Raw genomic sequence first — 22,963 nt, 5'->3', positions numbered from 1 at the left:
AAAATGGAAAAACACTCCAACTCTAGGCTTCCTCATTCAGAAAATTGCAATTTCAAATCCATATCAAATATATATAATCCCTTAAAATTGTCTTTTCTTAGATGTATTACCTGAACGATCACTCATAAATGTCTAGCTAAACCACAACCCAGAGCCAAATTTTATTTAAACCTAAATTGTAAGGCTTTTTAAAAAAACTATAAAAAAAGTCCCCGAATTATTCTTTTTTTTTTTTTTTTTTTTTTTTTTTTGAGACAGAGTCTTGCTCTGTCACCCAGGCTGGAGCGCAGTGGCGCCATCTCGGCTCACTGCAAGCTCTGCCTCCCAGGTTCACGCCATTCTCCTGCCTCAGCCTCCCGAGTAGCTGGGACTACAGGCACCTGCCACCATGCCCGGCTAATTTTTTGTATTTTTAGTAGAAATGGGGTTTCACTGTGTTAGCTAGGATGGTCTCAATCTCCTGACCTCGTGATCTGCCTGCCTCAGCCTCCCAAAGTGCTGGGATTACAGGTGTGAGCCACCATGCTCGGCCAAGTCCCCAAATTATTCTTACTTCAATGCTAATAGGACCAAAAGATAATAAGGAACAAATATCCTTTGCTGTTGTCTTGATTTGCAGTCTCTGGGACATCCCTGGGATCTCTAGTCATCTTAGATGTGAAATTCTTAAAGCCAAATTCTTGTTGATTCATATTAATCTTAAAGGCACCAACATGACATATTATATGTTTCATATTCCTGTTAAATTCATGAGTTGTTAAGGCCAAGAAATGTCATTTGTTATTAAGGATGAAGGCCAGGCGTGGTGGCTCACCCCTATAATCCTAGCACTTTTGGAGGCCCAGGTAGGCGATCACATGAGGTCAGGAGTTCCAGACCAGCCTAGCCAACATGGCGAAACTGTCTTTACTAAAAATACAAAAATTAGCCAGGCATGGTGGCACATGCCTGTAATCACAGCTACTCAGGAGGATGAGGTGGGAGAATCACTTGAATCCGGGAGGCGGAGGTTGTGGTGAGCCGAGATTGTGCCACTGTACTCCATACTCCAGCCTGGGCGACAGAGTGAGACTCTGCCTCAAAAAAAAAAAAAAAAAAAAAAAAGGATGAGAAAGCTCAAAGGTGGCAACAGAAAGTGACATTTATTGAGCTAGTCACATTCACATACATTATCTCATGTAACCCCCCAGACAACACTGTGAGCTAGGCATCAGCTCTATTTAATAGATGAAGAGACTGAGGGTCAGAGAGGTGAAGTGACTTGCCCAAGTTTATACAGTAGGCCTTTTGACCCCTACGCAATTCTTACCAGGGTCCACTTGAGTAAGAAGTCCAAACTTGGCCTCCTTTGCTAAGGTCAGAGTAAGGTTGTAGAAAAGGAAGGAAAATCAGATCATGAGTAAAGATCTGAGATGAATTCATGAACTTGTAAGTGCCATTCCAGGTTGCGGATGGTAGACTTTTGGGGAGATCACCCAGACCTCTAGTACTAGCCTGACCTTTCCACAACAGGTCGGCTTTTTTTTTTTTTTTTTTTTTTTTTTTTTTTTGAGACGGAGTCTCGCTCTGTCACCCAGGCTGGAGTGCAGTGGCGGGATCTCGGCTCACTGCAAGCTCCGCCTCCCGGGTTCACGCCATTCTCCTGCCTCAGCCTCCCAAGTAGCTGGGACTACAGGCGCCCGCCACTACGCCCGGCTAATTTTTTTGTATTTTTAGTAGAGACGGGGTTTCACCGTTTTAGCCGGGATGGTCTCGATCTCCTGACCTCGTGATCCGCCCGCCTCGGCCTCCCAAAGTGCTGGGATTACAGGCGTGAGCCACCGCGCCCGGCCAGTCTGCTTCTTATTTTTCCTGGGAAATCAGCTCCAGGGGTCTATCCAATAAGACCTTCATGTTTGCTGAACTTTTTGTTGATCTAAAACAGACATCAGCTGTTGGAAAGACACTGCTACTTTAAGATGTTGGCCTGGGCAGATATTCCAGCAGTTTTATTTTCCTCAGGATTGTCATGGGGAGAGGAGAACAAACTGTCTCAGCTACAGTGAAGCCGGGTCATTTAGTCCTCTCATTGCCTTATTTTTATATGCAACAGCGCCCAGCTCAGGGCCTTATGAGGCAGAAGGTGAAACTGACTCTGGAGGCGGGGACTCGGGTACCGGACCAGATTGAGAACTAGCTAAACAGGGTCGGGCAGAGGCGGCTTTCCATAAGACAGGGCCACCACGGCACCATGTCAGTTTACCATCGCCATGGCAATACCCGGAAGTTACCACCCCTTTCCATGGCAATGACCTGGAAGTTACCACCCACCTAGACATTTCTGCATAAACTGCCTCTTAATTTGCATATAATTAAAGGTGGGTATAAATATGCCTGCAGCCCTAGCCTGGGCGCACTGCTGGTGGGTAGCCATGGTCTGTAGGGAGCAGTATCTCTGCTGCCGCTGTCCTTGAGTTCTTTCCTCGGTGAAGCCAGACTAAGCCCCAGTTTTGGGGTTCATCTGCCCTGCATCACTTACACAGTGCAGAGCAGGCTCTCAGGAAATACGGATTGAGTAAATTTGGCATTTGTTGTCATAGTGATTATTTCTATTGTAACATCTAGGCAAAACGGCCAACCCTTGTGTCATTTCAAAAAAGGTCAGTTTCGCCCAGCACAGTGGCTCACGCCTGTAATCCCAGCACTCTGGGAGGCCAAGGCGGGTGGATAATCTGAAGTCAGGAGTTCGAGGCCAGCCTGGCCAACATGATGAAACCCTCGTCTCTACGAAAAATACAAAAATTAGCTGGGCATGGTGGCCGGCGCCTTTAATCCCAGCTACTCGGGAGGCTGAAGCAGAATTACTTGAACCCAGGAAGCGGAGGTTGCACTGAGCCGAGATCATGCCACTGCGCTCCAGCCTGGGTGACAGAGCAAGACTCCATCTCAAAAAAAAAAAAAAAAAAAAGGTCAGTTTAATTTTCATTGTCTCTAAGGTGCTTTCCACGTTTTCCTAACCTTGATATGATGGAGCAGGATCTGAGGGACTGGAGCAGTAAGTACTTTCTCACATAGTTCCAGTGAGTCAATGTTAACAATATATTTATAGTTTATAGGGTTTTGATTACTGTCTGGAAGTACAAAGGAGGAAGACAAACTAGTTTGCAAAATAAAATCAATAAAATAAAAATAGCACCATGTAGAAGACTTCCTCTGGATGTCACTAGATTTGTGCTTTATAAAGTTCTTTCTTTGGTTGAGAGGATAGAAGAAGAGTGTCTAAATATACCAGAGGAGAGCTATGGAAACAGGATAAGACAGGAGAATTGACTTAAAAAACCCCACAAGTATCTCATTTGCATGCGCTACCATGGAACATGCTTTTGTTCCAAGTATGTAGAATTTTCTTCTCCATGTGGATATGAATTAGAGAACATTTTTCAGTGTCTGGGAGGCAAATGAGGAAAGAGGGGGAATTGGGCATTTTTGTTTTCATTTTGACTGAGGGACACAGAGATGATTGCAAAGAGTTACCAATGGGTTTGCTCAAATGTGAGAGCTTTTGGATAGTGGTGTTATTGGACTACTATTCACTATTCAGGTGGTTCACAACTTCCCCACCTTTTTGGCTTGTAGAACTTCTGTTAGTCCTGTAAGACTCAAATTAAATATCCCCTCCTCCTGGGAGCTTTCCCTGACTTTCTTCCTGTCTCATTGTCATTTTTTAAGCTCCACAGTGGTTTATATGTACTTTCTTTGTGCTATTTATCATGGTAATTATTTTTTAGTAACTAACGCTATGTCCTCTTCTTTCAGGCGGTGGTGTGTGTTGCTCTTTATACATCCAGGATCTAGCAGGGCGCCTGGCACATAGGATGTCAATAAATCCTGGTGAAGGGATGGAAGATGGAGTGGATCCTAACTTCATTCTCTCCTGAATTCTTTCTAGACCAACTCCATCAGATGTTCCGGAGACTGAGGAATCAAAGCCTTAGAAGACCAGGGTTAGGAAATTATACAGCAACAGGACTAACAGGAGAACAGGACACTCTCCAAACTCTCCCTCCAGTCTAAGGCAAGTGAAAGATTTCTCTACATAAGTCGACTTCCCTAACAGTGCTTAACCCTGGGCAAGTCACTTCCACTCTCCAGTTCTGTTTCCTCATCTGCAAAGTTAGGATTATAATAGAACCTCCCTTATAGGATGGTTGTGAAAATTCAATGGGATTATTCCCGTTACACAGTTAGCATAGTGCCTGGGCACTTAATAAGTACTCAGTAAATCTTAAATATTATTATTAGCTGCTCTGGAACTAAGATCTGTGTAAAACCAATGATAGCTTTTTATAAATATCTGTTTTATCTTGGTTTTCTTTTCATGGTTTTTTTTTTAATCATTCAGCTTTCTTTAATCCATATAGCTTTAAAAAGTTTTGTTTTGTTTTGTTTTGTTTTGTTTTGAGACAGAGTCTTGCTCTGTCGTCCAGGCTGGAGTGCAGTAACACGATCTCGGCTCCCAGGTACAACCGATTCTCCTGCCTCAGCCTCCCGAGTAGCTGGGACTGCAGGTGCCCACCACCACGCCTGGCTAATTTTTTTTATTTTTTATTTTTAGTAGAGATGGGGTTTCACCGTGTTAGCCAGGATGGTCTCAATCTCCTGACCTTGTGATCCACCTGCCTCAGCCTCCCAAAGTGCTGGGATTACAGGCGTGAGCCACCACGCCCGGCCAAAAAGCTCTTTTTAAAAAGCATAAAAATAACATCATGGCAGAGCTCAATGCCTCCTGTTACAGGCAGCCTTCCCTTCTTGCCACCCACTGTTATAAAAATGACCTTTCTTTTCTGCCCCAACATTGTCTGTGCCATAACAGCGCGTATTAACTAATATCCACTGTAACATTTCCCACTCCAAACTCAATCTGTGCAAATGGACGTCGCAATGACTATATCCTCTGTAGTTTTCTGGAATGTGAAGCTTCGTTTCTCCTGCTTTGGCTCCTCCTGTGATCTAGAAGCAGGGCTTAGTGTTCAGGAAGGAGGCTGCATATGGCCAGAAAGATCCTGGCCAGGGGTTAGGAAACCCAGATTCCTGCTGGATGAGGACTGGACTCTTCTATCTCTATAAAACAGGGGTAATGATGTCTCTTTTCCTAAGTCAGGTGGTAGAGAGGTTTAAATGAGATAAACCTCATTTATGCATTTGTGAATTAAACACAATTAAAGTATATTAATCTCAATAGATATTGGAGACTCGGAAGAGTGGGAGGGTGGGAGGTGGATGAGGGATGAGAAATTACCTAATGGTTACAATGTACATCAGTATTTAGATACACTAGAAGCCTAGACTTCACCACTACAAATGTATCTGTGTAACAAAACTGCACTTGTACCTTACATATTTATACCCAAAAAAGTCGATTATTCTCATTGCTTCTATTAAATGGGAACTTCAGTCAGTGGGCTGACTTTTCCAAGTGTCAGTGTGCTCCATGCCTGTGGATTTCTCCTGCTTGGTTTTGGGTATTGAATTGACTTTTAGGATTTAATTCCACCTTGGCTTGAAGACACCCACCAGTCTTCTGGGATTCTGGTGGCACACTTTGTGGGAAGTCCTTTCCAAAGCTGTAGCTGAGGCCCTCAGGGTCCTCGGCGCCCACTCTTTTGTGTCTAATGCTGTTCTCTTTGGCCAAAACGACTCCTAATTTTCAAAAGCACAAGAAAAGTGAAAAGACCTACTATACCCATGTGAAGGCCCAGAGTCCCTGGACCCCTGCTTTATGTGAGAGATTAGAGCTTAATCTCGGCCAGGCAAAGTGGCTCATGCCTGTAATCCCAGCACTTTGGGCTGACATCAGGAGTTCGAGACCAGCCTGGCCAACATGCTGAAACCCCGTCTCTACTAAAAATACAAAAATTAGCCAGGTATGGTGGCACGTGCCTGTAGTCCCAGCTACTCAGGAGGCTGAGGCAGAAGAATCTCTTGAACCCAGGAGGCAGAGGCTGCAGCGAGCTGAGATTGAGCCACTGTACTCTAGCCTGGGCGACAGAGTGAGACACAGACTCAAAAAAAAAAAAAAAAAAAAGAGAGCAGTGGGGGAAGGAGGTGTGCAGGAAGTAAAGGTTTGTGTGTTTGTTTGATTTTTTGTTAACTTCTAAGCCTGTTTTCACCTTAAGAGGAAAGTGTGGGTTCTTTTCTCCCCTGCAAACTTGAATATAGGATTTCTTCTTGGCCTTTATCAACTCAAAATACTTCCCAATTCTCAGGCCTCTGAATTGCAAAAGTGGGTAAGTCACTGGGGAATGAGATGGGTGTATAGCAAGATATGTTTATTTAAATGGTATTTTTATATATACATTCCAAGCTTATTATTTTCTTTTGGGTATTTTTATTTGCAAGTAAAACAATATTCAGACCGTTTCTACTGATTAGAGAATCAGATAAGTAGAAAGCACTGAAAATCATGATAGTTCTCTAAATCTCACTAAAGTTGTTGGGTGGGAGACATTTGATGACATGAAATGAAGCTGGGGGAAGCTCCTTGCTGTTTCTTGTATCCATTGCTCCTTATAAAGCATTAGCAGAAAGATATCCCACCAGGAATATTTTAAAACAATGGGGCAAATTAGGCAATATCTGGACAAAATACTTAGGGTGGGTGCGGTGGCTCACACCTGTAATCCCAGCACTTTTGGAGGCCGAGGTGAGCAGATCACCTGAGGCCAGGAGTTCAAGACCAATTTGGCCAACATGGTGAAACCCCATCTCTACTAAAAATACAAAAATTAGCCGGGCGTGGTGGCATGTGCCTGTAGTCCCTGCTACTCGGGAGGCTGAGGCAAGAGGATAGCTTGAACCCGGGAGGCGGAGGTTGCAGTGAGCCGAGATTGCGCCATTGCACTCCAGCCTGGGTGACAGAGTGAGATTCGGTCTCAAAAAAAAAGAAAAAGAAAAACAAACAAACAAAAAACTTTAGAAAATCAAATATTACATGTTCTCGCTTAGAAGTGGGAGCTAAACAACTGGTACCCATGGACACAAAGATGGGAACAAAACACACTGGGGACTCCAAAAGAGATGAAGGGGAAGGGAGGGAAGGAGGAAGGGAGGGGAATAAGTTGAAAAACTACCTATTGGGTATGATGTTCACTATTTGGGTGATGGGTTCACTAGAAGCCCAAACCCCAGCATCACACAATATATCCATGAAACAAACCTGCACATGTAACTCCTGAATCTAAAAAATAAATAAATACATACAGTGGCTCAAGTCTGTAATCCCAGCACTTTGGGAGGCTGGGGTGGGCGGATCACTTGAGGCCAGGAGTTTGAGGCCAGCCTGGCCAACATGGTGAAACCCTGTTTCTACTAAAAGTACAAAAATCAGCTGGGCGTGGTGGCGGGCACCTGTAATCCCAGCTACTTAGGAGGCTGAGGCACAAGAATCACTTGAACCTGGGAGGCAGAGGTTGCAGTGAGCAGAGATCATGCCACTGCACTCCAGCCTGGGCGGCAGAATGAGACTGTGTCTCAGATAAATATGTAAATGAATATGAGAAAACTAAATTAAAAAAAAAACCACTGGTAAAATAAAAACACAAGCAATTAAACCAAGTTTATTTATTTATTTATTTTGACACAGGCTCTTGCTCTGTCACCCAGGCTGGAATGCAGTGGCATGATCTTGGCTCACTGCAGCCTCTGCCACCTGGGTTCAAGCAATTCTCCTGCCTCAGCCTCCCGAATAGCTGGGATAAACCAAACTTCTTACCTGCTATCAAATGTCAATATTTTCTCTTTGTAGATAACATATGCGAAACTGGGATTTGAATGGTAATTATTTACTGACAATCCTAGAACAAACTCCTTTGGGCACACTCCCCTGACTTTAGGAAATAAGCTCTAGCCAAGCTAAAAGCAATTATCTAAGAAGAAAGCTGAAAACGATTCAAAATGCATTTTCAGTGATGTCAGGAAAACACGTATTCATCATTTTGTTTTGGGCTTCACTCTGTTCTGAAATTAATAATGGGCAGCCCCGTTATTCCTCCATTCAGGGCTCAGTTCTTCCTTGGAAGCAACAAGAGGTATTAGAGGTAGATTCTACCCACAGAGGACCAGAGAAGGCTAGGGAGGATGTAGCCCTGATTTTCCTACCTAGCTGCAGTTCCCTACCTGGGAGAAAGTGGTGCATCTTGGAGGCTCTTTGTTGTTTCCTCTAAGTGGTCCCAGGGCCCATCCCCAGGCCTTATGGCAGTAGAGTCACCTCTGCCTGCTCCACGAGCAGCTCTACTGCTGAGAGCAACCACGCACAACAGTGTGTACCCAGGGGCTTGCCAGGATCAGCTCCCCAACACTCACAACAGAAAATAAAAGCCATAGACCCTTCCCACAAATCTCCCTGAGGAACACAATATGCCCTCTTAAATAATTGTTTTTCAGATAGGAGCCTTTATAAATAGAAAATAAGTGACTGGGTTAGCAGACACAATCCTTGGATTGAAATTTACCTGTTTGAGCCACACATTGGTTGTCATCAGCTGATTCTTTTCATCCTAAGAAAATGAAAATTTAAAAAATACTGTAAGTTGAAGTGAAAATAAGTTGTGATTTTTGTTGTTGTTTTAGAAATGGGATCTCAAGATGTTGCCCAGGCTGGAGTGCAGTGGTGCCACCATAGCTCACTGCACCCTCAACCTCCGGGGCTCAAGCCATTCTCACACCCCAGCCCCCAAGGAGCTGACTATAAGTGCACGCCACCACACCCAGTTGTTTTTTGTTTGGTTTCGATCAGAAAAATCTATCTGAATCTTACCTTTGAGGTGTTAAAAGTGCAAAAGATTCTCAATTTACAATAGTCAAATGGCATGTAAACAGTCAAATGGCATATAAATAGTCAAATGGCATGCGGATTTTGCTTAAAATGAAAAACAACTGAAACAAGTAGCAGTTCATTGTGGCTATATTTACATAAAATTGGATGACCCAGAAGGCACTTTAAAGGTACAAAGTAGGCTGGGTGCAGTGGCTCACACCTATAATCCCAGTACTTTGGGAGGCCGAGGCGGGTGGATCACCTGAGGTCAGGAGTTCGAGACCAGCCTGTCCAACATGGCGAAACCCCGTCTCTACTAAAAATACAAAAATTAGCTGGGCATCATGGCACATGCCTGTAATCCCAGCTACTCAGGAAGCTGAGGCAGGAGATTCACTTGAACCTGGGAAACGGAGGTTGCAAGTGAGCCAAGATCACCCTTCTGCATTCCAGCCTGTGTGAAACAGAGTCTCTGTCTCAACAACAACAATAATAATAATGAAGGTACAAAGTAGAGGGAAATAATAGCTAAACTGGAGACGGGCTTTGCATGACTTCCTAGAAGGAATCCTGGGGTATTGAGCCAGCCAGGCAGGTGAGTGTGCGCACATGTGTGTAGTAGGGTGGAGAATATGGACAACATAGGAGGATTCTTCTGGGGCTTTGGGGATCATAGAAGGACAATTTTGTTGCATTTAGGGAGTTAAAGTTCACTGGTTTCTTCTAAGAACACAATCATGACAGAAAGGCAAGCTCAAAAGGAAAATTAGAATGTGAAGGCATGGGTGAGTTCAGAAGAGGTGACGGGGCTGCCTAGGGACAGCAGGAATGGGCCTTGCTCTGGGCACTGTTGTTACCACCCTGTCTCCCTGCAGAGCCCCCTACCAGCCCAGGGCACAGCCAGGGAGGATCGAAGATCACAGCACGTCAGCCCCAGGCTCAGCCCCTCTTCTCTGCAGTTCCCAGCCCTCCTCCCTGGGTGTTCAGCAAACCGGGGCCAGGAGCAATGACTATCTTAGCAACCACATCCTCCCCGCAGCGAATCGTCCCACACTAACAGTGCTGCAATGAAAATTTACCCTGTGACAACTTCTCGTTCTTTCCTTGGGTCATTTTAGTGGCTTCTTGGGGGCAGATTTTCTCTCACAGTAAATTATTTTTAAAATTGAAATGGCAGACATAGGGAAAAATATATATTTTAGACTCATAAACAGGTTAAGGAATGCATGTTCTTTTTAGCCAAGTGCCAAGGATTACTCACCACATCTACAAGCTGGGATATTTTCAATCCAAAATATACTTTTATGGTGTCATTAGAATGTAATACAGGGCGGACCCATTTCTGATAACCTTGGAACAAATGTCTGAGGAGGGCATCTTCATTTTCGGCGATTGAGTTGAAACCTGTGGTGGCTGTAAAAGAATCATGGGTGGACCTGGGTTAATGGGAGGGGCACGATGCCTGGATGAGTGTCCCATGGCTCCTGTGGCCTTGGCCTCCTGCACCATAGGCTGTGTCTGTTTCTAAACAGCCCAGTTCCTGAAAGGCAACTTGGAGCATGCAAGAGTCTCCACGTCCACTCCCACCTCCCTCCAAACACACACAGCTGAAAACAGAATCCACATTTTGTTTGTGTGTGTGTGTGTGTGTGTGTATTTTTTTTGAGACAGAGTCTCACTCTGTTGCTCAGGCTGGAGTGCATTGGCGCGATCTCGGCTCACTGCAAGCTCCGCCTCCAGGGTTCATGCCATTCTCCTGCCTCAGCCTCTCGAGTACCTGGGACTACAGGTGCCTGCCACCACACCCGGCTAATTTTTTGTATTTTTAGTAGAGAAGGGGTTTCCTCATGTTAGCCAGGATGGTCTCGATCTCCTGACCTCGTGGTCTGTCCGCCTCAGCCTCCCAAAGTGCTGGGATTACAGGCGTGAGCCACCACGCCCGGCCCAGAATCCACATTTTACCCAGAGCTGCACTCTCTCATGAGATTTTCCCATCATGGGGTCAACACCCAGGTCCCAAAAGCTCCATCTGCAGCCACCCCGACCCCTACCTCTGGTCCCATCTGCAACGCTCCCTCTTCACAGAGATGGGCCCTGTCCCCAAGCTGTTCTCCGTCCCTGAGCCTCCAGCATCTCCCTTTGGAAGTCTCTTGTCATTTGTCACACCTGTCTTCCTCTGGAGCTCCCTGACGATGGGAGCAATGGGCGTTATATTTGATCATGTTTACCCAGCACCTAGAACAGTGCCTGGCCCATAGTGGGTGTTCATTTTATGTGTGTTAGTAGATGTCAGAGTCGGCACATGGTCACTGAACACCAGCCGTGTGCCCCTCACGGTCCTCTTGTCTTTTCCCAAGGAAGAGTCTTTCCTTACAAAGTCCTTCCTTGGTCAGCAGCCAGGATGTCACACTCTGCCCAGTGCCTCACTATGTGAGAACCTCAGAAACACCCAGTGTTAAGCTTTAACCCTCCAGTTGGGGAAATGGCTTAGGAATCCAGTCCCAAAGTAGAGTTCTATTTCCTTACAATGCCGTGCTATCACATTTAAAACAAGGAAGCCCCTACTTTTAAAAAAAGAAGACAGGGTCTCACTATGTTGCCCAGGCTAGAGTGCAGTGGCCATTCACAGGTGCAGTCCCATTACTGATCAGCATGGGAGTTTTAACCTGCCCCTCCTTGTCTGTTCAGCACCCGATTAATATCCTACAGCAACTCATTCTGCACCATGTCCTGACCATAGAAAACCTTTTTCTTCCCACTGAGATATCCACATGCTGGGTAATGATCTCATGAGAGACATACCCTCCAGGTTTGCCCACTCAAAATCCAGGGATTCTTTTAGGAAGAAAAGCACAACAGTGCACCATCCCCCTGTGTGCAGGAGGCTTCTGTAGGCACTTTCCTAAGAGAGGAGCAATTCCAGGTGCCTCTGTCCCAGCACCTCAGAGGCATGGGTGAAGTGGGCTGTGTCCTCTGACGGTTCCCAGCCCCATTTTCCTCCACATAAAATGCAAATGAGTGATAGGGAGAGACGCAACCTTACATTTGTGCTTATTTACTTAAAAACTGTGGGCCAGGCATGGTGGCTCACACCTGTAATCCTAGCACTTTGGGAGGCTAAGGTGGGAGGATCTTTTGAGCCCAGGAGTTGGAGACCAGCCTAGGCAACATAGGAAGACCCTGTATTACAAAAATAAAAAAATTAGCCGGGCATGGTGGCACACCCCTATAGTCCCAGCTACTTGGGAGGCTGGGGCAGGAGGATGGCTTGAGTCCCGGAAGTCAAGGCTGCAGTGAGTGGTGGTAGCACCACTGCACTCCAGCCTAGGTGACAGAGCAAGACCCTGTCTCAAAAAAAATTTTTTTTAATAAACAAAAACTGATCTGTTGATTACTATTAGTACCAAGAGCAGCACTGGGAGCAGCCAGCTGGGCAGCCACCAGGGTGTCAGTCTGTAAAGAGCCAGGAAACCTTCCTGGAACCCCACAGGCTCTAGGGGGCATTTGCTCAGAGGGACATTCTTGAAGTCATCCTTGACTCCTCTCTTTTTCTCCCACCCTACGTCGGGTCTTAATGTCCTTGAGAATACATCCCAGCCCTGATTGTTCCCCACTGTCTCCACCGGGGCCACGCTGAGGGCACAGATGCTCTCTCTCTTGGGCTCCTGCACTGCTTCCTAATTGTTTTCACTCTTGACCTTTCTGCAGTCCATTCCCCACACAGCAGCTAGAGGATTATGTCAGTTCCCTGCTAAGCGCTCCAGATGGTTTCCCATCACACTCAGAAAGAATCATCCTAAGTCCCTCCACAGTCTCCCTGACCCCATATGGCCCTAACTGTGCACCACCCCCACCATACTGCCCACATTCTCCTCCCCAGCCCTCGGGCCAGTCTGCGATTCCCAGAACAAGCCAGAATGCATCTGCTTGGGGAAAGTTCTTACCCTTACCCGGAGAGCCCACAGCCATCCCTTCACTTGTCCAGTCTTTGCTCAAATGTCATTTCCTTGAGTAAGTCATTTCAGGTTACACTATTTAAAGTCCCTCTCCTCTCTATCCTCTTAGGGTACTTCATCTTCCAGTAGAGAACCTAATCATATCACATTTATCTGTTTATTGTTGTCTCCCCTCCCTAGATGATGCCAGCTCCAGGAAGTTGGGGATTGTCTTCCTCACTCCTGTATTCCCGGCTCCTAGAACAGTGACTGTCACCCAGCAGCTGTTGAGCTAATGGCTATTGAGTGGACAACCACTCGAGCAACAATGCAGTCAGCTTCGTGGACTTTGTTTTACTGAGGGGCATCTGGAGAGTTGGGACCAGAGGTGAATTGCTCAAGAGAAGAGGGAAGCAGTGAGGACACAGCTGTCCTCCTCCATCTATCCCCAGGTCAGGCAGCCCCCTCCTCTAAGGCAGAGAATATTGTTTGAAAGGCACTTGTCTTCACTTATTTTGTGCTGCTACAACAGGATACCACAACCTGAGGAATTTATAATGAACAGAAATTTATTGGCTTATGGTTCTAGAGACTGGGAAGTCCAAGATCATGAGCATCTGGTGAGATCACTGACATCTGGTCAGGGCCTTCTTGCTGCATCAAACATGATGGAAGGGCAAAGAGGGGGTGAGAGAGACAAGAGGGTGCCAACCCCTCCCATGATAATGGCATAAATCCATTCATGAGGGTGGTGCCCCCATGACCCAAACACCTACCATTAGGCCCCACCTCCCAACACTACTGCGTTGGGGGTCAAATTTCCAGCACTTGAACTTTGGGGAACCCATTCAAACCACAGCAGCACTGTGGCAGACACTGCCAGTTCCCTGCCCAACAGGCATTCCCCCTTTTCCTTGGCAACAGATGCTAAATTTATTCAGGGTTGCATGGTGCCAGCTTAAAAAGCTCAGCTCTGGGCTCCCTTGCATCTGGGAATGGCCTATGGCACATGTAGCCAGTTAGATACAAACAGAAGCTGTTGGGATTGGGGTGGTTAGAGGAAAGGTTGTTAAAAAGGATGGACTTGATCTGACATGTCTGCCTCCTTCTTTTTGTCTGAAACTGGAGATTTGGCCACTTATCTGTCTTGAAAACCTGATGAAAGCTACACACATAGGAGGGCAGAATGGAAAGACACACAGAACCTGGGTTTCTGATAGCCCTGTACTATTGGTCTCCAAATTTCTTGGTATGTGAGAAAAGCAATCTCCTATTTGGTTAAGCCACTGTAGCCACTGACAGGCATCTGAACACAGCCCTGATGGCTGCTTGCACCACCTGACTAGCTGCTGAGATGCTGAAGTTCTTACAGAGTCCCTGAGTCCCAGGTCAGCCAAATTAGCACAAATTACTGAAGACACCATCTCACAATGGATGGAGGCACTCCAGGGAGGCCGAGAACAACTGAATGATGCCTGAACCAACACATGCAAGCACACACACACACACACACACCTATTAGCTCAGACAACTGTGAGCCGGGAGAATTTTGGACACATAAGAGAGAGGGTTCTTGAAGATGAGCAGGGACTGTAACCATGAACTTCCTTTCCCAAAAGAAAAACTGTCCAGTCATTCTGAAAGGAGGTGGAGTTGCACGTTGGGAGGGGAAATCTAGAATTCTGACCTGACATGCTTAGCGTTTGCACTTACGCAGCTGTGCTCCCTGTGAAGGTACAGGAATCCTGCTCCTCACCAAGATCCAGGGGCAGCAAGCAGCTCTGCTCTTTCACGCACAGCATACATCTCCACCTGTGTTACCACTGTCAGAAGGTGCACTTTCCGTCTGAATTAACAAAAAGCATGAACCATACTGGCTGTTAGGGACTGAATGTTTATATCCCTCAAAAATCAAATGTTTAAGCCCTAACCCCCAACGTGACTATATTTAAAAACAGAGCCTATAAGGAGGAGGCGCAGAGGACACACCATGTGAGGACACAGCAAGAAGGCAGCTGTTTGTAAGCCAGGAACAGAGCCCTCACCAGAAACTGACTTTCTAGCACGTGATCACAGACTTCCAGCCTCCAGAACTGTGAGAAAATAAATGTCTGTTTTTAATCAGTCTATGGTATTTTGTGATGGCAGCCTGACTAATGCAAATCTGTTCTGACCAAAACAGACTTTATCCCCCTAATAAAAAAAGCCAAAGATTAAATGATTTCTGCCTAATATCTTCAAATTTCCAGAACCTTTCCAAAATAGAAGCTGAAGTCATTGGCATTATTGGAGCAGACTTAGAGGACAAGCCTGGAAATGTTTCTGGTTTGTCCTTCTTGTGAAATAGAACATTATGAGAAAGGCCAAGTGCTTCTCACAGTTGATCCTTTGAGACCAGGGCCTCCATAAATATTTGATGATGTTTGATGAATGAACAAATGAACACATGAACAAAAGGCCATAACGGGGCTTTCTGTGACCCAGGGGAATGAGGTAGAGCCAGCATGGCTCACTGCTCCCGAAGATGTAAAATCACAGATGCGCTCAAGGTTTCCAGGACAAGTGGTCTTTGTATTATGGAATAAAAGGATTCCTGGAAAGTTGTGCATAGACCAAAATTTGCAAAATAACTTATATTTTAAATTAATCACTATATTCTAAGATCCATCTCAGTAATCCATTGAAAAACCAAGAATTTTTTCTCAGAAGATGAGTGTCCCCCATTGTGGATACATATATATATATATATATATAAATATTTTTTTTTTTTTTAGACGAAGTCTTGCTCTGTCACCCCGGCTGAAGGGCAGTGGCATGATCTTGGCTCACGGCAACCTCTGCCTCCTGGGTTCAAGCAATTCTCATGCCTCAGCTTCCTGAGTAGCTGGGATTACAGGCGTGCACCAACATGCCCAGCTAATTTTTGTATTTTTAGTAGAGACAGGGTTTCGCTACATTGGTCAGGCTGGTCTTGAACTCCCGACCTCAAGTGATCTGCCCGCCTTGGCCTCCCAAAGTGCTGGGATTACAGGCATGAGCCACCACTCCCGGACATGGATGAATCTCTTACAGAAGCTTGGACCCAATTTCAGCCTCAATGAAAGAGGAAGGAAAAGTGAACTGATAATGAAGCTAAGACAATAAAGCCAAGAAGTACCTCCAGGACCATCCCAGCCCCTTGTTTTACAGGTGAAGATACTGGGGCATCGAGAGGAGCCTTGCCCAGGGCCATCCAGCTGATGGTGGCCTGCGTGGTCTTCTGGCGGCCAGGCCAGCCATCTTCCCTTATTGCAAAAATTCAATTCGATATACATATATTTGCTGTTATTGCTATTTTTGATGTTTTGCTGTTAGCATTGTATTTTCCAGAATGCTTTACTGTTATTTAGAGCAATCTACTACCTGGAAGAATTATATTCTTTTTATTTTTTTTGAGACAGAGTCTCACTCTGTTGCCAGGCTGGAGTGCAGTGGCGCAATCTTGGTTCACTGCAACCTCTGCTTCCCGGGTTCAAGCAATTCTCCTTCCTCAGCCTCCCAAGTAGCTGGGATTACAGGCACGTGCCACCATGCCCAGCTAATTTTTGTATTTTTAGTAGAGACAGGGTTTCAATATGTTGGCCAGGATGGTCTCGATCTCTGGACCTGGTGATCCCACCTTGGCCTCCCAAAGTGCTGGGTTTACAGGCGTGAGCCATCGTGCCTGGCCTCCTTGCTTAATCTTTGTCTCATTTTTCTTTGTCAAAATATTTCCTGTGGGGCTGGGTGTGGTGGTTCACACCTGTAAATCCCAGTTACTTGGGAGCCTGAGGCAGGAGGATTGCTTGAGGCCAGGAGTTTGAGACCAGCCTGGGTGGTGCAGAGAAGCTCTGATAAATAAATAAATGTTTATTTCTATTTTAAATAAATATATATATATTTCCTTTAGGGCCAGACAGACAACTCCATGGGCAGAGGAAGGAAGATGGAGAGGCAGAGAGCGAATGTGAAGGCTTCAGTTCGGAGGCAGAGACAGGGATGGCGTGCACTTGGCCTGATGCTGGTCATCTCCTGTGCACTGAGCTCAGGCTGGGACAGGCTCTGGGAGAGTGTGCTGCTGCTGGCTCAGAAGGCTGATTCCCTTTCCGAAGTCATCACTCATTAGGAGGAGAATCCAACAAATATTTATTTAATAATGAGAGGCATTGGACTCTGATTTAGAGACCATGGGTTCTGGTCTTGATTCCAAGCAGTTAACATCTCCCAATAAGAAAAGGAAATGGGTGATGGCTGAGGCCTCCAGCAGCTCACACCTTCCAGGCTTTTAGGGTCTTTGTGTCTATGAAACATCCACAAACTGTGGCCTATTAACCCCAGATATTTGCTGTTTTCAAGATACAAAAGACTGTCAGAGTTTAAGATGTGCATATGACTGGGGAGCAGCCCTTCACTCAAGCTGCTGTTTATCTCAACAGAGCAGTCAGGTAAAAGTAACACAGCTACCAGGGGATTGGAGAGACACCTCTGTGAGGGGGTTGGGGCTCTCTCAGCCTCACTGAATGAAATCATGAAAGATATTGATAAGGTCCCTAGTAACACTTTAAGACAAAGAAATTTTCCTTTGGAATTGAAGACCTGACCTTCTGGTCTCTTTATTCTTTTTATTTTTTAATAGAGACAGGGCCTTGCTCTGTTGCCAGCTGGGGTGCAGTGGCATGATCATGGGTCACTGCAGCCTCAACCTCCTGGGCTCATGTGATCGTCCTGCCTCAGCCTCCCGAGTAGCTGCGACTACAGGAGCATGCCACCATGCCTGGCTAATTTTTAAATTTTTTGTAGAGACGTATGTCTCTCACTATGTTGTCCAGGCTGGTCTTGAGCTCCTGGGCTCAAGTAATCCTCCTGCTTTGGCCTCCCAAAATGTTGGATTACAGACGTGAACCATTGCAGCATCCTTGGTCTCTTTATTCTTTTTTTTTTTTTTTTTTTGAGACAGAGTCTCGCTCTGTCGCCAGGCTGGAGTGCAGTGGCGTGATCTCGGCTCACTGCAACCTCCGACTCCCTGGTTCAAGCAATTCTCCTGCCTCAGCCTCCCAAGTAGCTGGGATTACAGGCATGTGCCACCACGCCCAGCTAATTTTTGTGTTTTTAGTAGAGACGGGGTTTCACCATGTTGGCCAGGATGGTCTCCACCTCCTGACTTCATGATCTGCATGCCTCAGCCTCCCAAAGTGCTGGATTACAGACGTAAGCCCCACACCCGACCAGTCTCTTTATTCTTGATTCTGTTTCCTCAGTCTCTCAGACGCCCCTGCTCTCTTCCCACCTCCATATCAACATCCACTTTTAGCAAAATTTGACAAACTCACACTGAGGTACAAACAACTGATAAGACTTAACAGATAAAACTTTTCTCTCTCACAGATCTATACTAAATCCAATAACCTGTTATAAATCTCAGATCTGTATTTCTAGATCCATCAACATCTGTCCATAATTTTATGAACAGGATTTCATAAAAATCTTCAGGATTATTTATGGTTTTACTGATAATGCCATTTTTTTATCCTCAGCCAGGACAGAAAAGAAATAATTGGGCCGGGCATGGTGGCTCATGCCTGTAATCCCAGCACTTTGGGAGGCCGGAGCGGGTGGATCTCCTAAGGTCAGGAGTTTGAGACCAGCCTGGCCAACATGGTGAAACCTCATCTCTACTAAAAATAAAAAAGAATTAGGTGTGATGGTGGGCACCCGTAATCTCAGCTACTCGGGAGGCTGAGGCAGGAGAATCCCTTCAATCCAGGAGGCAAAGGTTGCAGTGAGCCAAGATTGCCACTGCACTCCAGCCTGGGTGACAGAGCGAGATTCCGTCTCAAAAAAACCACAAAAAACAAAAAACAAGGCCGGGCGCAGTGGCTCACACCTGTAATCCCAGCACTTTGGGAGGCCGAGGTGGGTGGATCACGAGGTCAGGAGATTGAGACCATCCTGGCTAACACGGTGAAACCGCATCTCTACTAAAAATACAAAAAATATTAGCTGGGCGTGGTGGTGGGCACCTGTAGTCCCAGCTCCTCTGGAGGCTGAGGTAGGAGAATGGCGTGAACCCGGGAGGCGGAGCTTGCAGTGAGCAGAGATCGCGCCACTGTACTCCAGCCTGGGCGACAGAGCGAGACTCCATCTCAAAAAAAAAAAAGAAAAGAAATTATTGAAGAATTCCAAATCTCAGCAAAGACGATTGTGAAATGTGGATTTTTTTGCTTTGATGCCTTTTGGTATATTTTGTTTCTTCCTTCCACTATTGCCGCCTCGTCAAAAAAAAAAAAAAAAAAAGCATACCACAAATATGGCAGCCTCTTCCGTCACCCATGGAGCTAGCCCTCATGGTGAAATCAAAGAATGCATATTCAATGGATTCTTGATAGCATGAGACCTTTTTCTTCTTTTTTTGAGACCGAGTTTCGCTCTTGTTGCCCAAGCTGGAGTGCAGTGGTGTGATCTCGGCTTTCTGCAACCTCTGCCTCCCAGGTTCAAGCGATTCGATTCTTCTGCCTCAGTCTCCCGAGCAGCTGGGATTACAGGCGTGTGCCACCACGCCTGGCTAATTTTTTGTATTTTTAGTAGAAACGGAGTTTCACCATGTTGGTCAGGCTGGCCTCAAACTCCTGACCTCAGGTGATCTGCCTACCTTGGCCTCCCAAAGTGTTGGGATTACAGGTGTGAGCCATGATGCCCAGCTGAGAGCTTATTAGAAAATGGCTTTGTTTTTATTTCCTCTTGCATTCCTAGACACTGGAACCATTCCTAGGATACAGTAGATGCTCAATAAGTATTTATTGAATGAATAAACACATTGTGTCTTATCATATCATCATGTTGTAAGAGAGATGGGAAGATAAATAAGATACACCTCCTGCTTTTTGAGAGCAGATAGCACACACAAAATATGAAATAGCAATATGAGAGACAACCCATGGCCACACCCAAGGCTCCTTTTTACCAAAGCCAGAAATATAAAAATGAAGGGGTTGCCTCTTGTAATTTGAAAAAAGTAGTTTTGCATAACAAAAAGAAACTATTTTGTTTACAATGAATAGTAAAGTTAAAAAATGTAAGGAAATATGGGACAGATTTAAAAATATGAGCAGATGCTGATGGATCTAGAAATACAGATGTAAGATTTATCACAGGTTATTAGATTTATTATAGATCTGTGAAAGATTACACAATCTTCCCAAACTCTTCCAGCCCACACAATGGAGACCAATGCCAGAGGCCAAGCAATTCCAGTTTTCTTATGTAATCATGATTGTACACAGAGGACGAGACTTAGCTGAACCAAGAGAGTTTATGCTAAACACCCTCGCTAACCATTGAGAGAAATCATTCCTTGGGAAAAGAGTGGTAAGAATCAATTGTCTTATAATAAATAGAATAATAAAGACAGAAAAACATCAGACACACGTACATTAATGGTAAGCTCAAACACACAGAATTTTCTTATCATTTTTGTGATTGGCAAACTGCATTCAAGACTTTGAAAAGTCCAAATTTCATGATATTTGAAAGTGAGTTTGAGGCTTTCTGCATTTAGAAATTCCTGTTTGACTTTGAGTCCTTGGTCTGAGAAAAGGCGTTTTTGACAACAGGATAATGTTCAGGTGCCTCGCAGCCTTGGGAACTTGAAATGTAGAATTTATTTCTGGATTTGGGCAAATCTCCCTTAGTGTCTCCAGTTCTCCATTTGAAAATTACAATAATCAAACGTGGCAAAAATACTACTGAGAAATTAATACAAATTGCTAGTGAACTGACACTTTTCTCACCATCTGGCTGCGGTTTCAGATGGTTTCTGATTCAATGGGGGAAAACTTTCTGTTCTCAAGTTACACAAAAAGTGAAAAGATTCCCAAACCCAGGAAATTGGCAGGTGCAAATGACCAATCCCCAAAGCCTTTCAGTACTTTATTCCCCTTTCTTTTTCTCTTTTTGTTCTTTCTCTGCATCTCTGTCTCTATCTTTCACTTTTTCCTTTTATTTGTCCTTTATCCTTATCAAAAATTCCTCTATTTTCAGTTGATAATAGTCACATAAAACACATAGAGTTTTGATACATTGGTGTTTAATTGTGATATATAAACATGCTAAATCTACCTACATACACAGATTTATTAAAATATATAGGCCTACAGGGCATATTGGACAAAATTAAATATCTACATGCAGATATAGAAATTATTGGTAAATATGATAGAAAAATGTTGATATAGTAAATTTCTGTGCCAAATATTTGAACAATTCTCTGAGTAATGCTCAGTGCATTCAATAATGTTTTTCCTGCTTTTGTATTTTCTTACCAAGCTCATAGTGATTCAGAAGGAGAAACGCAGCAAATGACAAAAACATAAACATTATGAAAATCATAGATATGATTTCTTCAGCAAAAAAAACCCCACATCTCACAGAATTACTCATTTGGGCCACATTTTAAAGGTTATCCTAAATGTATCTTGTGCATTACATATTGTAATTCTAACATTATCAACACCATAGTTTTGCCTCCTCTGCTTAAATAATTCTGCAACTGTAGTTTTAATTTACTGTGACTTGTGCTTACCTGAGGAAGGGATGCCAAGGACGATGAGAACCAGCATAAAATCTGGGAGCATCGTGATGTCAGTTTCAGAAAGACAGTTTCTTCCTTTTTAACAACAGAGCATTTCCACTGGAAAAGGGGGTTTTGAAAAGAAAATACAGGGGTTCAAAATCCGAAGTGGAACCCAAGAGGACAGCAACACCTGGAGTGGAATAAAACAATCTCAACCCCTCTCGCCGAGTGTGCCGCTTCTCAAAGTGCACTTCATTGATTTGCAGTCAGCTGTCAGATCGTGTAAGTCTAAAACATATCTCTGGGTCCTAACTCCTGACTTATTAATTTACTCCCTTGCAAGAGATGCGGGGCACTGGAGAAAGGATGAAACTAGACAACTTCTGAATGTTCTGTGCTATTTTTCTTACAGTTGGAGATCTGCGTACAGAAGAACCACACTTTACCACATCCATAGTGAAAAGTTTCTCATCCCCGTTATTTCTCTATTCTCTTTTCTTTTTCTTTTTATTCTTTTTTTTTTTTTTTTGATATGGAGTCTCACTCTGTCACCCAGGCTGGAGTGCAATGGTGCAATCTCGGCTCACTGCAACCTCCGTCTCCCAGGTTCAAGCCATTCTCCCACCTCAGCCTCCTGAGTAGCTGGGATTATAGGCACCTGCCATCATGCCCAGCTAATTTTTGTATTTTTGTAGAGACAGGGTTTCACCATGTTGGCCAGGTTGGTCTTGAACTCCTGACCTCAGGAGATCCGCCCGCCTTGGCCTCCCAAAGTGGTGGGATTACAGGCATGAACCACTGCGCCCAGCCTCTCTATTCTCTTTTCCAGTTGGACCTGAAGTCATGAGTATGTCCTGGAGCCTCCCTATTCTGCTGGTTCCCACATGTGTTAATATCAGCACATTCTCTGTGGCTCCCTTGACCCCACCAGGCCCACCTTCTGGTCACTGCAGGGGACAGTAGGGTGGGAGGTTAGTGGTGTTTTATGTATGAGACTTGGACACTAATAACACCATCCTTTCTTCTTCACAGTTGATCAGATTTCATCTAGTTCAGTGCTGTGCACACCCAGAGGGCCCTTGATAAATGCATGATACATCAAATGAATGGCAAGTACAAAGTCAGGGCTAGACAGACAAGAGGGCCAGGTGGGAGCCAAGACCTATCTGGTTGGGAACTGAGTGCTGGAGGAACCCACTCCAGGGCATGGAGGAATTCTGTCTTAGCGGCAGTGATTTAGTCCAATTTTTAAATTTCTTAATTTAACCCTCCTCTGTGTGCCATTAGTGAGTTTGAGACACCCAGAGGGTGCTCGGTAAGGAGGCATCATGTGTGGAAAAGAGGTCTAGCCCAGGACCCCGGGACCCTGAGCTCTTGAGCCCTGTCTGTTCCTCAGGGCCCCTGTCTCAGAGCCCCTCACATCACAATGTCGCTGCCCTGCCTGGCCTCCCTTCCTAGACCACCAGCTCCTGCAGGAGGGCTTGGTCTCCAGCCCTCTGGAGTCTCCTCTGTATCTCTCTGTGTCCAGGGCCTGACACCTGCAAATGCTTGAGAACGTTGTGGGAATGCAAGGAGGAAGGAAGGAGCCATGCACTGATTTCCTCCTATCCATCTCAACTGTGCTCCCAGCCTGCTGAGAATTTGTAA

The 22,963-nt window shown here is 45.1% G+C and overlaps 1 protein-coding gene and 2 long non-coding RNA genes across 5 annotated transcripts in view; 2 read left to right on the top strand and 1 right to left on the bottom strand.

Moving 5' to 3' along the window:
* CHRNB3 (cholinergic receptor nicotinic beta 3 subunit) overlaps window positions 1–21,558 on the bottom strand; it is a 40,042-nt gene extending 18,484 nt beyond the window's left edge. The window contains exons 1-4 of one of the 3 annotated variants that reach the window (NM_001347717.2): window positions 21,326–21,558; window positions 14,443–14,575; window positions 10,056–10,207; window positions 8,490–8,534 (exon numbers count right to left, since the gene is read on the bottom strand). In NM_001347717.2, the coding sequence (NP_001334646.1) occupies window positions 8,490–8,516 (27 nt within the window). In that variant the 5' untranslated portion in view covers window positions 8,517–8,534; window positions 10,056–10,207; window positions 14,443–14,575; window positions 21,326–21,558. Of the gene's footprint in view, window positions 1–1,309; window positions 1,510–8,489; window positions 8,535–10,055; window positions 10,208–14,442; window positions 14,576–21,325 lie in introns of those variants that run through there. The other 2 variants (NM_000749.5, XM_011544390.3) reach the window with 2 other exon arrangements.
* LOC105379396 (uncharacterized) lies at window positions 6,085–14,947 on the top strand. The gene is made up of 2 exons (XR_007060900.1): window positions 6,085–6,266; window positions 12,931–14,947. It is a non-coding gene; the product is annotated as an uncharacterized LOC105379396 (long non-coding RNA).
* Window positions 20,033–22,426, top strand: LOC124900250 (uncharacterized). Its single transcript, XR_001745887.2, has 3 exons — window positions 20,033–20,112; window positions 21,424–21,598; window positions 22,349–22,426. It is a non-coding gene; the product is annotated as an uncharacterized LOC124900250 (long non-coding RNA).
* The last annotated feature ends 537 nt before the right edge of the window (window positions 22,427–22,963 follow it).

This window comes from Homo sapiens, chromosome 8 (genome assembly GCF_000001405.40).
Source record: "Homo sapiens chromosome 8, GRCh38.p14 Primary Assembly".
In the NCBI taxonomy this organism is placed as follows: domain Eukaryota; kingdom Metazoa; phylum Chordata; class Mammalia; order Primates; family Hominidae; genus Homo; species Homo sapiens.
This window is presented reverse-complemented; position numbering and strand designations above follow the sequence as displayed.